The sequence below is a fragment of the Homo sapiens genome, chromosome 5 (genome assembly GCF_000001405.40).
Source record: "Homo sapiens chromosome 5, GRCh38.p14 Primary Assembly".
NCBI lineage: Eukaryota > Metazoa > Chordata > Mammalia > Primates > Hominidae > Homo > Homo sapiens.
Window position 1 is genome coordinate 151,550,898 of NC_000005.10, and position 14,152 is coordinate 151,565,049.

At 46.5% G+C, this 14,152-nt stretch overlaps 2 protein-coding genes across 11 annotated transcripts in view; one reads left to right on the forward strand and one right to left on the reverse strand.

The window, feature by feature from the left end:
* Positions 1-5,188, forward strand: part of SLC36A1 (solute carrier family 36 member 1) — a 211,490-nt gene extending 206,302 nt beyond the window's left edge. For 2 of the 3 annotated variants that reach the window (XM_017009217.2, XM_047416925.1), the window contains one exon: positions 5,008-5,188. In XM_017009217.2, the coding sequence (XP_016864706.1) occupies positions 5,008-5,062 (55 nt within the window). In that variant the 3' untranslated portion in view covers positions 5,063-5,188. Of the gene's footprint in view, positions 1-1,247; positions 2,755-5,007 lie in introns of those variants that run through there. The other variant, XM_011537595.3, reaches the window with a different exon arrangement.
* Positions 1-14,152, reverse strand: part of FAT2 (FAT atypical cadherin 2) — a 90,728-nt gene that overhangs the window by 46,806 nt on the left and 29,770 nt on the right. For all 8 annotated transcript variants that reach the window (XR_007058588.1, XM_017009225.2, XM_011537600.3 and 5 more), the window contains 5 exons: positions 12,428-12,742; positions 5,447-5,505; positions 3,465-3,776; positions 2,280-2,490; positions 570-709 (listed from right to left, as the gene is read on the reverse strand). Coding sequence is in view for 7 of the 8 variants with exons in the window: in XM_017009225.2 (XP_016864714.1) it covers positions 570-709; positions 2,280-2,490; positions 3,465-3,776; positions 5,447-5,505; positions 12,428-12,742 (1,037 nt within the window). In the remaining variant the exon portion in view is untranslated. The remainder of the gene's footprint in view (positions 1-569; positions 710-2,279; positions 2,491-3,464; positions 3,777-5,446; positions 5,506-12,427; positions 12,743-14,152) is intronic.

The window sequence follows — 14,152 nt, forward strand, 5'->3', positions numbered from 1 at the left end:
GCACTGCAAGCCCCAGGGGAACAGGGACTGGGTCTGTCTGGACCTCCCTGTATCACCCAGGCCTAGCACAGTGCCTGGCACTCAGCAATCACTTGATAAATATTTGTTGAATGAATGACAGTATTTCAAAATCAAAAGACCTTCAGATGCTGCACAGTCTAGTGTTTTTCAAAAACAAAAATTTTCTGGAAGGGCCTTTCCATCAAGTGAAATGTTGTGTGAAATCCAAATGTAAGAAACAGATAAAACACTGGCTGAAGCTAGAATAGAAATTCAGAGCCCCACTTACCCAACCATCATCCCCCTATACCCATAGTAGCCCCATTGTACTCTATCTTTAATTAAAACTGCTCATTTAAACAAGCTTCCAATTATAGACAGATCCAGAGTGGGAGAAAGAATTCTCCCAGGATCACAGAAGTAGAGAGTGTATTAGACAAGAACTTTGATTCTAAATTCAGTGTTCCTTGAGGAACACCACATCCACAGAAAACCTCTGTAGCCTCATCCCAACCAAGAAGGCCTTCCATCTCCTCTCAATACAGGGGTCCCCAGCCGAGGCCTCTAACCTGTGTGGCAATGGTGCGGGACCCATCTGTCACCTCAACAGTCAAGTTATAGTTCGACCTTCTCCTGGTATCAAGAGGCCTGGCAATGACGATGCTGCCTGTGGTCTTCTCAATGTCAAAGTCCATGTCCTTATCCCCACCTAGAGTGGGAGTGGGGAGAAAGCACACACAACCTCAGTGATTTAGGCAGCATAGCATAAGATAGGCTTTGGTTGTCAGGCTCAGAGGACACGGTGGTAAATTCCACAGTACAAGATCTGAGTGACAGGTTGTAGTTTATTCTCCCAGGGAGTCCCAAAACTGTAATTTATTCTGTCAAGTTGTTGTCAAGTTATTTTTATTTGAATTTTATTAATAAATCAAATTGATTAATAAACTATAAGAATCCAAATGTAACAACATATTTTTAAATGTCTAGTATATAGAAATATGTTTAGTGACATGGAAATATGTTCATGATATATTACATTTAAAAATATTATAAAACAATACTTTAATATAACCCTAAGGGTGTGTGTGTGTGTGTGTGTGTGTGTGTGTGTGTGTGTAAAGGAAAAATGACAAAAAGGAAACACATCAACATTATAACAGTGGATTATCTTCTGATTGGTGGAACTTTAGGTGATTTTTATTTTCTTCTCTGCATTCATTTGTGTGTGCTTATTTACTTATTTATAGACAGGCTCTCACTCTGTCACCCAGGCTGGAGTGTATGGTGCAATCATAGTTCACTGTAACCTTGGACTCGGCCTCAAGTGATCCTCCTACTTCAGCCTCTCAAGCAGCTGGGATTACAGGTGCGAGCCACTGTGCCCAGCCCATATGTGTTTTTGAAATGTTTTAGAGGGTACATGCATTAATTTGGTATTAAAGAAAAAAAGTCAAACAAAACAGCCGTAAGCCAGAACTGGAAGTAAGTTCAGGAGGTTCAAAGAGCTTGGGTCAAGGGCATATATCCTATCCTACTCTTAGCCAGGACAGAAAACTGTACCAGGACTCCATGTTCATGTGGGTGCTGAAACTCCTAGAGATTTTTAACCTGGAATCCCTGGATGGGTTTCAAAGGGCCTATACATCCTCTAAATTGTATGCAGATTTACATTTGTGTGTGTTTGTGCACACAACTTTCTGGGAAGAGGACCTAAGCGTTCGTCAGATTCCTGAAGGGTTCTGTGACCCCCAGATGTTGAAACAAAACCTTGATTTAGAGACAGAGAGGAATTTCAGAGAAGGCCATCAGAGCCCGGATCCAAGTGCCTCGTAGAATGAGAATGGGCACTTTCCCCTGATCTCAAGGGTGAAACCTGGAGCCAAAACATTGAGCATGGCCCCAGGGTATAGCTTATGGCAGGCTCACGGTCAACTATGATTTTCACATTGAGGTAGGAAAGGAAACACAAAGCATTTCTGCTCTGGGTCTTCCTGAACCATTTTAGGTCTCCTAGGCCCTTGGGGTAACTGAGGCACTGCCAACTCTGGCTGGGGTTAGAGATCGTGGCTGGAGTGAAAGGAAAGCTTGGCAGACGTGGCATTCTTACTGCCTGTGCTCCCAGAGAACCAGGGAAGAGGCAGTCCCCACTCCGGGCTGAAAGAGGGGCTGCCGAGGAGCCCGACCTTGAGAAGAGTCAGAAGGACTGTAGCAGGAAAACTAGAGCTGGTGTATAAGGATGGGAGGGGTTGGCCCTTGTTGGGCCCTAGGCCTTGCCTCACCTGAGATGTTGAACCAGAAGAGTCCGGGTCTGCCCTCTACGCTGATGACCCCCACCATGTGGTTCACAGGGTCCGTCTCCATGACCGTAAAGCTGTAGTAGGTCTCATCAAAGGCCAGAGGGATGGAGGACGGCCGGGGCCAAGGGATCCACTCAATGTGTAGCCGGACACTGGCTGAGAGTGGTGGCTGCCCACTGTCTGTTGCCTTGATCTGAAAGGAGGCCAACACCAAAACTGAGGTTTGGGGCCAAGAGACAGGAAGACCCAAGCAGCCAGGACAGGAACCAGAGCGTCCTGTGATTCTGACCAAGCAGGCCTCTCATCCAGTCATTCATTCATCTGATGCATACTTGAAGGCTTGCTGTAAACAGGCACCCTGCCAGTTGCTGCAGGCACGGTGGTGAACAAAACGTATAACCTGTGCTCAAGAACCTCATGGTTAGTATAAAAATAATAAATGCCACTGTTAACTGAAGACTTACTGTGTGCTACTTCCTAAATTGAACTTTACATACATATGCCCTTTGCTTTTCCCAACTACCATAAACCTAACAAGCTAGAATTTATTGAGCACTCACTATTATCAGGCCTTGTTCTAAGAGCTTTGTGCGCAATATCTGATTTAATCCTCACAATAACCTTGGAAGAGGTCCTGTTATCATCTGTCTTTTACAAGAATAAACTAAGGCTCAGTGTGGTCGATTCACCTGCCAGATGAAATGCTTGGCTAGCAATGAGACTGGGGTTGAATTCAGGCTGACTGATGTAAGCACCCATGCGCTAGCTACCTGATATATTGGCTTCTCACAAGAAAGACGTTCTTATCTCCATTTTACAAATGATAAAGGTTAAACGACTTGTCCAACATCACACAGGTGTAAAATGGCAGTACTAGGGTTGGAACCCAGGCTTATTGGTTCCAAAGCCCCTGTTACTCTCACTAAATCCTTCTCTCTAAGAATAGAGGGGATTTCCCAGGCAAAGACCTTATTGCCTTCAAAGAGAAGGACCCAGAATTTGATCCTTTGGCTGAAGCTGAGACTCCCAGTTTCTCTGGGAGAAGGCCAGGAAGGAGAGTACCATTTCCCTTATGCTGGTGGGCTGTCTCCCTCCTCCTGAATTCTCAAAGAAGGCCACTAACCAGCATGCCACTCCTCCCTCCGTGGCTTCCTTCTGTCTGCTCACCGTTAGGATGTTGTACTCTCCAGCTGTAAAAGTGCTGCTGGATGAAACCACACCTGTGACCAGGTCGATACTGAAGGCCTCCTCATCGCTGTCCTCGATACTGTAGGTGACTCTGCCATTAAGACCCTCATCCAGGTCTGAAGCCACCAGCCTGTACACAGGCCCAGGGGACACAGGGCTCAGCCTCTCTGGAAGGCGGACATTGAAGAGCTTGTGGGAGAATATAGGTGGATTGTCATTGACGTCCAAGATGCCTACCACCACCCTGGAGGTGGACTTCAGTGAGGGTTCCCCATTGTCCAGCACAGTCACCTGGGAGCAGAATTGAGCATGAGCACCTGAGCTGACAATTGCAAATTAGTGACTATGCTTTAACAACCTGGAAATAGTAGTCACTTTGTTCTTTGGTATGAGCTTGTACTTTTTATTATCATAACTTCACCTACTTGGAACTCAGCTCTCTGGCAACTTTGCCCCTGGGAAAGCCAGTGAGAACAGAGAAAGGAAGCAGAAAGAACTGGAAGAAGACAGAGTCAGAGTCTCTAGACAAAAGCTGGTGCTGTTTATGTGGGACAACCCCTGGGCCATTTCTCAGAGACTACCTACTTTTTACTTGCTTGTGTTTTTCATAATTTTAGTTCTCTGGTTTCCTTAAGTTGCTCGATTAGAGAAAATAAATGAGAAAATGTTGATGAGGGAATGAGTGGTACTTTTTGAGTCAGACATGTGCACGTGGCCTGATGCATGCAATGAAATCCAGAGTGAGAAAAGGCCCCAAAACCATTTCAGAACCAGTAGCTATTTAATGCAGAGGCAAATAATCACATGCATCAATAGCCCCAAGGGCATCACATCAGACAGGAGATTTCCACCTGAAATGGTTCTGAATTTTAAAAAACACTTTGGTGTTTAAAGGTAAATATCTGTTACTGAACTGTGGAGAATGCTTTCAGTCCCTAGGAATTCTAGAAGGCCATTTAGCTACTTCTTACTAATAATATATTTCTTTTTTTTTTTTTTTTTTTTTGAGACTGAGTCTCGCTCTATCGCCCAGGCTGGAGTTCAGTGGCACGATCTCAGCTCACTGCAACCTCCGTCTCCCAGGTTCAAGTGCTTCTCCGCCTCAGCCTCCCCGGTAGCTGGGATTACAAGCACCCGCCACCACACCTGGCTAATTTTTGTATTTTTAGTACAGATGGGGTTTCATCATGTTGGCCAGGCTGGTCTTGAACTCCTAACCCCAAGTGATCTGCCCGCCTCAGCCTCCCAAAGTGCTGGGATTACAGGCATGAGCCACCGTGCCTGGCTAATAACACCTGTTTCTTACCAAAGGAAAAAGAATGTGCAGAGCCTGGAAGTATCAAAGGCAAAATTTGTTTCCTGCTGAGGAATATGTATTCCCCCCTCCTGATACTTTTAAAACTAGAAGAGATCATCAGTGAAGGACAGCTCAGGAGGGGAAATAGTTAGATTTCCACCTGATCTGCTTCTCTTCTGATTTCATTCCCTCTAGGTCACTAACCAAAGCCTTTCATTGAAACAGGCACCAGGAATGCCTATGTGATTTTAGAGGCATCCTAGAAAGAGCACAGATCTAGAAGACAAAGGTCTGGTTTTCATCCTGGCTCTGCTACTGACCTAGTGTTTGACCGAGAATGATTCTGTCTGCCTGAGCCAGGAGGGATGGACTGGACTCGGTAAGTACATAGCACACATGTACTGCTCCCCTCTCCTTCACTCCCTGCAGGCATCACTAATCAATCAATGGTGCCTACCCAGCCTGGGCACAGTTTCAGACTCCTTCCCTTCTCAGTGCTGAGGAGCTAGCAAAGATCCAAGGATCATCCAGCAAGGTTCAGCTCACGTATATCTTCCTCCCTGAACCCAGACCCTCCTCAGCCACAGTGCTAGACATGCACGTGGCTCCAAGGCCTAACATGGCTCCACAAATCACCACAAATGGATTCACCACCATTACTTACCTCCAGGATGTGTTCATCCTTGTTCTCTCTGTCCAGCTGCTGGGCTGTAGATAGGAGACCTGAGAGAGAGATGATAAGGGAGAGACATGAGCAGAAGACTTTCAGGGCCACTTTACTGAGGCAACTTCAAGAATTACATTCAAATCTCAGATAAGAATTCTTCTGATCTTTGAAGAACATGTAAAGACCATCCCTGACTTAGGATAGTTCAACTTAAATTTCCTACTTTATCATGGTGTGGAAGTGATACACATTCAGTACAAACCATACTTCAAGTACCCATACATTCTGTTTTTTACTTTCACTTCAGTATTCAAATACTGAAGTATTGAGTACAAATACTGAAGTGTTGAAATATTCAATACTTTATTTTAAAATAGGCTTTATGTGAGATGATTTTGCCCCCTGTAGGCTAATGCAAGTGTTCTGAGCGCATACGAGGTAGGCAAGGCTAAGGTATCATGTTCTGTAGGTTCGGTGTTTAAACACAGTTTAGACTTACAGCATTTTCAACTTATGATGGATCTATTGGAATATGACCTCACTGTAGGCTGAGGAGCATCAGAACACTAAGGGGAAATGAAACTCGGGGGAAAGCAAGGGGGAAGTGAGGAGCTGGGAGAGAACAGCAGAGATAATGTGTCAGGTGAAGTTCCCAGCTACTTCCTGCTTTCTCTATTAGGCAGGGGTGATACATCAAAACTTCAGCAATCGGCCCACCACGAGCAGCCTCCCGTCAGGATGGTTGCCAGCTGGAAGCAACCAGTAGGGTTACTGGTGCACAAGGGTCAATGTCAGCACTGCTGTGATGCAGTTTTGGTTCCTCGTCACTAAAATCTATGGAACATGTTTGCATCTGGATGTCTTCTGCTCATCATTCATTCCCTCTTCTTTCAATAAACAAACCCCAGTTCTCCTGAGGGGAAACCAGGAGAATTAGGTTCTAATTAGGAATTAGAACCATTCCTAGCTTTAGTCCTTCATTATCTGGGGTGAGGCTGACCCGCCTGGGGAGAAGTTTATAGCCCAAGGATAGCCAGTCAGCACAGACTATCCCCCTGGCCCTTGCAACTGGCTCTGCAATAGACAAGGGACCCGTCTGTCTGATGAGAATCCATTCTGGGACTTTTGCAAGAGCTCTAGAAAGAGACTTTTTTCTGCTGCTGTGCTGAGAGAACAGAAGGAAGCCTGACAGCAACAAGAAGAGGGACTCCTGAGGCTAGACCCACTCAGAGAAAATGAGGCCAAGAGATAAGCAGAGGCAGCGCCTTCATTACATTATTCCAACACTGGCTACAGCTGTGCCTGCAGCCATACTATGTTTGGAATTTTCTGTAAAGTAAGAAAACAAATGTCTTTTATTGCCTCAGCCAACCTGCATTGGGTTTCTATCTTTACATCTGAAAAAGTCCTGACAACCAATTCAATTCTGAGAATTCATATGTTGGGATAGGAATGGGTTAGGGGTCATGGTGAGGCTGGGAAAGCATTCAGGGTCTTTGGGATTGGGAGGCCTCCAGGAAGGACGCTACCTCCTGCCTCAGCCTCTCCCTTCCCCTCCTATGGCCCTGCCAACCCCCAGCTCCAGCCTCAGGTTCCTTACAGGGGACCCACTAATCCCCTCTGTGCCTCGCCTTGACTCCAGGAAGCTCCTGCTTATTTCTCCCAACCTTATTTCAACCCCAGCCTCCTCTGCAAAAGGAGTTGAATTCGGTGACCTTTAACATCTTTCTGGCTTAAGTTCTGAACTTCTCATGCCACTTTAAGGAATGTATTCTAAGGAAATCAGTGCATACATCTGGGAAGATGAGTTCACACGGTGTTCACCTGAGTCACGTTTTAAAAAGCCAATAATTGGACACAATCCATATAAGGGAAGAGTTGTATACATTTTACATAAAAAGGAATCTTAAGCAACTATTCAAAATACATTCTGTAGATGGGGAAATGCTGCACACAATATATTGTTGAGTAAAAAAGGCAGCTTGTCGCCTGGGCACGGTGGCTCACACCTGTAATGCCAGCACTTTGGGAGGCCGAAGCGGGCGGATCACCTGAGGTAAGGAGTTCGAGACCAGCCTGACCAATATGGTGAAACTTCATCTCTACTAAAAATACAAAAAAAATTAGCTGGATGTTGTGGCGTGTGCCTGTAGTCCCAGCTACTAGGAGACAGGAGAATTGCTTGAACCCAGGAGGCAGAGGTTGCAGTGAGCCAAGATCTCACCACTGCACTCCAGCCTGGGCAACAGAGCGAGACTCCTTTAAAAAAAAAAAAGCAGCTTGTCAGGAGCTACAGCAGAAATAACAACTATTGCCTTCCGTTTCAGAGAAACCATGAAGTGACAGCATTTTCCCCATTTATTATTATTATTATTCACTAGGGTCCTAGTACTGGCTCTTCCCATGACAGGCTGGTGCAGATAAATAGAGAGGGGGCTCCTCTGGGCTCCTCTCAGTTCATCCGTAATTGAAGAAGTTGGGTAGAGAAGGCGCTAGCTCTCTGCAAGATTCAGGGAAGTTGAGGTGGAGGTTTTCAGGGGCCCAGAAGGTCATCCAAAGCCATGGCCTAAGAGGCCGTGGCTGGTGTGGACGGTCTCTTGTAAATGAAAGCAGAGCTACTGGTCGAGGTTAATGGAACATCTGAACACTTTCACTTTCTTGATCTTGTTTAGGTGATGAAGTGATTGAGATAATGGAATTAAGTGTAGAAAAAGAAGCTCAGTGAAGAGCCCAGAGTTTCCCTGGGGGGCTCAGTGACAGAGCTGGGAGCTCAGCGAGGGGAACAGGGATTCAGTTCTGGGCCAGAGCCTCCAGTCATGGCAATGGGAGTGTGGTGTGAGGATGTGGGCTCTGTCGGGGGCGTGTTCTCGCCTTGTGCAGTTGAACGCAAGTCATTCCGGCTTTTTCTTCCCTAACTGAAGTTTGGCGTGCAAGGGATTGGAGAAGGCTCCTGAGAAGCTCCACACTCAGGCGCCCTTCCAGTCAAAGAAGGAGGACAAGTGGAAGGAAAGACACACTCCTGTAGGACAGGAGGGTCTGGATACTGTCCCAGCTTGGCCCCAAGCTGAGGGGCCTCATGGGGAAGGGCCTAGGGCCTGGGGTCCCCCAGGAAGAGCACAAGGACTAGGGGGTCTTGGCAGGTAAGCCTTCTATCTGGCTCCATCCCTTCCTTTCCTCCCTGCCCTTCTCTCCTCTCCCTTTGCTCTCTTTTCTGTGTTTCTCCTTCACCATCCTCCTCCTCTCTTCCAGCTCTTCCTCTCTCTCTTCTCCCCCTGTGCCTCTGAATCTCAGCCTCTCTCTCTGTGTGTGTGTGTCTGTCTCTCTCTCCCTCTCTCCCCCAACCCCATTTGGTTTTTCTTTTCTACTTCTGCCTCTCACCACTGCCTCCCCTGACCTTCTAAGGTCCTGTGCCTCTGGAATCAATGCCCCGAGGTATCCTGCCCAGTTGCCCCTATTCTCATCCTCATCCTCCTCTCTGAAGTCAGTATCAGGGTTCCCAGGAAGTGCCTGAATAGAATGGGGACATAGCAGAACCACCTCCATAGGGCTGTGTGCATGTTCACTAAGGTGCATAGAAAACCCCTCTCACCCTTCCTGGATGAGGTGGCGCTCAGTGGACTTCACTCTTACCATTTTTCTCCTCCAAACAAATGTTTCCCCAACACCCTATCTCAGACCCATATATGACCTTTCATCTTCCCTCATCCAACAGTTTTCCAACTGTTGTTGATTCCACCTGTGATAGATTCCTGATCTTTAACTCCTCTTACCCTGAGTCACCACAATCTAGGTCTTGCCCAAGCTGCCTTTCCATCTTCATCTTCCTCTTCTTCCCTCCTGCAGCATCAAAGAACCAACCCTTTTGGAGCTCTCACATGCACAGGCATTCAGCTAAGCTCTTTCTATAGCTTTGTATATTAACTCATTTAATTCTCACAACAGCCCAGGTGGTCTCTATTATAATCTCCATTTCACTGGTGAGAAAACTCAAGCATAGAGCAGGTAACTCACTTTCCCAAGATGTCATTATTTATAAGCGGTGGAACTGAGATAAACCTTGAGAAAGTCCATCTACTTGCATTGTCTTCAACAAGATCAGGGTCTTCCTCCCTCTCAGATAGCACCTGTGTCGTCACCCTCGCCCATTTGCTCTCCCGGACTGCTGCCTCTCAAAATCCTCCCACCCTCCAGCTCAGCATAACCACCCCTGTTCCATGAAGCCCTTGCAGATCCACCACCCAGAGCAGCTTCCTCCTTCTTCTGAGTGGCCAGGGCACTGTATCTACACATAGTTTACGATGTTATGCCCTTTCAAACTGGTTCTATTGTGTTTATATCCAAATCTTCATGCTCCTAATGGACTGAATTTCTCAAGACCTGAAACTGTGTTTTATTTATCTTCATATAACTCCACAGCACATTGTTTAGAAGCCTAGTAAGGTCAGACACCTTTAAACATTTGCTGAGTACGTGAATGAATCTTGGGCTTAACAAAACATTGTGGATGCTGGCAGAGATTCATTCATCCATTTAGCAATTATTTGTTGAGCTCCTACTGTGTGACAGGTACTGAAGAAATTATGGTGGGCACCAACAGTTAGGGTCCCTTTTCTCAGGGAACGTTGAAGTCTAGTGAGGGACACAGATGATTAATGGGATAACTTTGAAGTCTAGTGAGGGACACAGATGATTAATGGGATAATCACACAAGTGAATATAACGTCCTGTATGATAAATGTCGCAAAAAGGAGTAGGTGGTGCTGGAAAGTGTGTTAGGGTATCAGGAAAAACTTCTCTAAGGAAAGAACAGCTAGGCTGGAATCTGAAAGAAGAGCGGGAATTGACCAGACAAAAGGAGAGAAGAGTCCCCTGTTAAACAGAATGGCACATGCAAAGTCCTGCGTGGAGGGGCCCGGACTGAGGCAGGCCATGTGACTGGAACATGGGGAGGGGCAGCAGGAGAGGGGCAAGATGAGGCCAGAGAGGTCAGCAAGGACAGACCAGGCATGACTTTGTAGGACACAGCAGAATCTGACTTTCTCTCTCTTTTTTTTTTCTTTCTGAGACAGGCTCTTGTTCTGTCACCCAGGCTGGAGACCAGTGATGCGATCATGGGTCACTGTAGCCTCAACCTCCCAGGCTCAAGCCATCTTGCTACCTCAGCCTTCTGAATAGCTGAGACTTCAGGTGCACACCATCACACCAGGCTAATTTTTGTATGTTTTGTACGGATGGGATTTCGCCATGTTGCCCAAGCAGCTCTTAAACTCCTGGGCTCAAGCGATCCTCCTACCTCGGCCTCCCCAAGTGCTGGGATCGCAGGTGTGAGCCACTGTGTCTGGCTTACTGACTTTAGCTTAAGAGCACAGGGAAGCCATACAAGGCATCCAAGTAGGGAAGTGGGACAAAGTAATGGTGGTGATGAGAAAGGTGGGCTGGGGGCGCATTGGTGATTTGTTCTACTTTTGAAAGTGTTCATGCTTATAAAGATTTCTTCCTTTCAACTGCAGGAAGGCTAAGAACATCTCTGCCCTCTAGGGCATTTTGCCAGACCTGCTGTCAGGGAACTGTTGATAGTAAACAGAACAATGATTTGGAAGAAGCTGAGAAGTTAATGCCTTAGGTGAGAGATCTCTTCCCACTCCTGAAGAGGGAGGGACAGGGAGGGACAGGGTAGGCCCAGGTAGAGAGCCAGCTTCAGCCTGTTTTCCAGGAGAAAAGCATCCTCCTCCTAGAACTACTTCACACCCTGAGGTCAAAGGTTAACAGGAAAGGTTGACAATAAATGTTACCAGGCAAATAGGCACTTACATCTCACCCACCCCTCTGTCTGCTCCAGGAGTCCCAGCGTCATCCTCCTCCTGGTTACCTTTTGTCTTAAGAATAAAGGGACTGCCCGCTCGCATTCTTCCTTTCCTCCAATCTCACCAGGTTCCATCCTTCTCCGACAAGAGTAAATTGTTGGAGACGGAAAACAGGATGTTGGGTTCAGTGGGGAATATGTCAGCCTTCTCTACAATAGGATTGTTGTTCCTCCCCCAAGAGGAAGATGAGGCTTTAAGAAGTGTCTGCAGCAATGGGACCCAGCTCTCACACTGCAGCACCAAGGAAAGCCAGGCAGGTGGTGTCAATGAGGGACGCAGGCTGGGAGTAACACAACAGGGGATGGCAGGACCTGCAGGGATCAGAGCTTCTGTGCCAGGTCTACAAAGGGAGCAGCTGTTGGCTCCGGGCCACTGTGGCCCAGCGGGACTGTGAAGACAATGTGGCCAGATCCTTCCATTTTTAAAAAACAACCAGAAACCTGGAATGTTTTGTGGAATTTTCTAATTTTATGTGTTGGCTGCAACTTAAAAAATAATTGTTTAAAGCTTAAGCAAATCAAACAAAACACCTCTAAGAGCAATGTCTGACTCACTGCTGCCAGCTGCCAACATCTGGATTTCTCCCAACCATCCACCATCCTTGTCCCAGAAGGCTTTGGGCAGGTGCTCCTGAGATGGTTGACAACATAAGTGGATTCACATTGCCAGCACTCTGGGCGGGGTTGAGATCAGTCTGGAACTAGGGTTAAGGGATTCAACCTGTGGCTCATGACTCAGGAGAGAGTCAGGTTGGGACCACTTGGAGGTCTAACTAGTCTCAGGTTGACCAATGGGCAACCTGCTTAGTTTCCTTGGGCCCCAAGGAAAGAAACATGAAGACAGATCCTTTTCATTTTCACATAGAGATGGACTTTGTAGAACAGCATTGTCAAATGTTAGTACACATTTGAAACACATCAGAATCACCTGCATGTCTTGTGAAAACACGGATTGCTGGGCCTCACCCTCGAAATTTTGATTCAGTGGATTTAGGGTGGGGCCAGAGAATTTGAATTTCCAAGTTCACAGTAATGCTGATGGTGCCGATTTGGGCCCACAATTTGAGAACCACCATTGTAGAGATCCCTGTTCACCCAGCTTTTTGGATCCTTACCTGTAACAGGGTGAATCATAAAGAATCCCATGTAGTTCCCACTGGTGATGTTGAAGGTCAGCTTCCCTTTGGAGCTGGAGTCTGGGTCCCAGGCATCCAGTTGAAGCACAGAGGTGCCCACGGGAGCATCCTCCTGGATGGAGGGGTAGAACACAGCTTGGGACATCTGGGGTGGGTTGTCATTGGCATCCGTAACCTCGATGTAGACTTCAGTTACAGAAGAGAGGGGCACAGAACCCCTGTCCACTGCTAATACCGTCAACCAGTAGTAAGATGCAAATTCTCGGTCCAGGGGTGCCAGAGTCTGAATCATTCCTAGGGACAGTAAGTCAGCAAACCCAAAATACTTTAGAGCTCAAAGTGGCTTTAGAAATCACCCTTACCCACCATTCCCCAAACCGCACTGTGGAAAGGGTATTAATAAGTAGATTTTCTATGAAAAGAAGGAACTGCTTCTACCAGTATAATGTGGGAGATGCTGAGTTGAACACAGGGGAATTAATATCCTTATTCTAGAACCTCTCAGAGCCTTCCTCTGCTAAAATGGACGCATGCCTTTAGCATGTGAGCATATTTAGGGTTTTCAGAAGACAGTGGTAGTTTATCTACTTTCTCTTGGCTACTTAAACCCAAATTCCATTGATCTATTTCACATTCTGTAAGTGAGGTTTTCTTATAGTTGTCCTTAAACTGTTTCCTTCACACTTTATGTCCTGGTAGATAATCAATTTCAGGGTTAGGAATTTGAAGAATAAATTGCCATTCCCTTCTCCATCATTTTCATGATTTTAAGGGGCTGAGCTTCATTTTTTAGTTCATTCCCTCCACAAATTGCTTACGATGGGCTAGCACTGTTCTAGAAGTTGAGGGTCCAAGAATGAGTAAAAGAAGCTTACACCTGAAGTTCTCATGGATCATGCTGTACTGGCAGGGCCTGTGTGAGAGGGCGTGGCCCATGCTCACAGCCATAGCATAACAGAGACGACCGCTGGGGAAACTGAGGCTCAGAGAGGGAGCACGACTTGACCAAGATCATGTAGCAAGTATGTGGAAGAACTGGGTCTGGGATTGACTCTTAATCTAATGCTCTTTCTAATTAAACAGCTTAATTAAATTAAGCTGTTTTCTTTCAGTGGCTGGCATTAAGAGACAAAGGTTGCTGAAAGCCAACATTGAGAACAAGTTATTACAACTTGGTTTTGGTGGAAATAAATCACCTACCAAATTGCAAACTCCTTGAAGGCAGTGATCTGCCTTTATTCACGTGGGATCTCCCCCAGGTACCTATCTTAGGGCCTTACCAGTAGTGGGCACTCGAACAGTGCTGACTTACACTTACTTTCCTTGAAACTTAAAAAAAGGAATGTGGTTGTGTCACCTTTTTGGAGAGCAATTTGGAAATACTTATTAACACAGAAGATGCACATTATCCTCTGACCTAGAAACTTCATTTTTAAGAATTTTTCGGCCGGGCATGGTGGCTCATGCCTGTAGTCCTAGCACTTTGGGAGGCCAAGACGGGTGGATCACCTGAGGTCAGGAGGTTGAGACCAGCCTGGCCGACATGGCAAAAACCCGTTTCTACTAAAAATACAAAAGTTAGCCGGGCATGGTGGTGGGTGCCTGTAATTCCAGCTACTTTCGGGAGCCTAAGGCAGGAGAATCGCTTGAACTCGGGGGACGGAGGTTGCAATGAGCCGAGATCGAACCACTTCACTCCAGCCT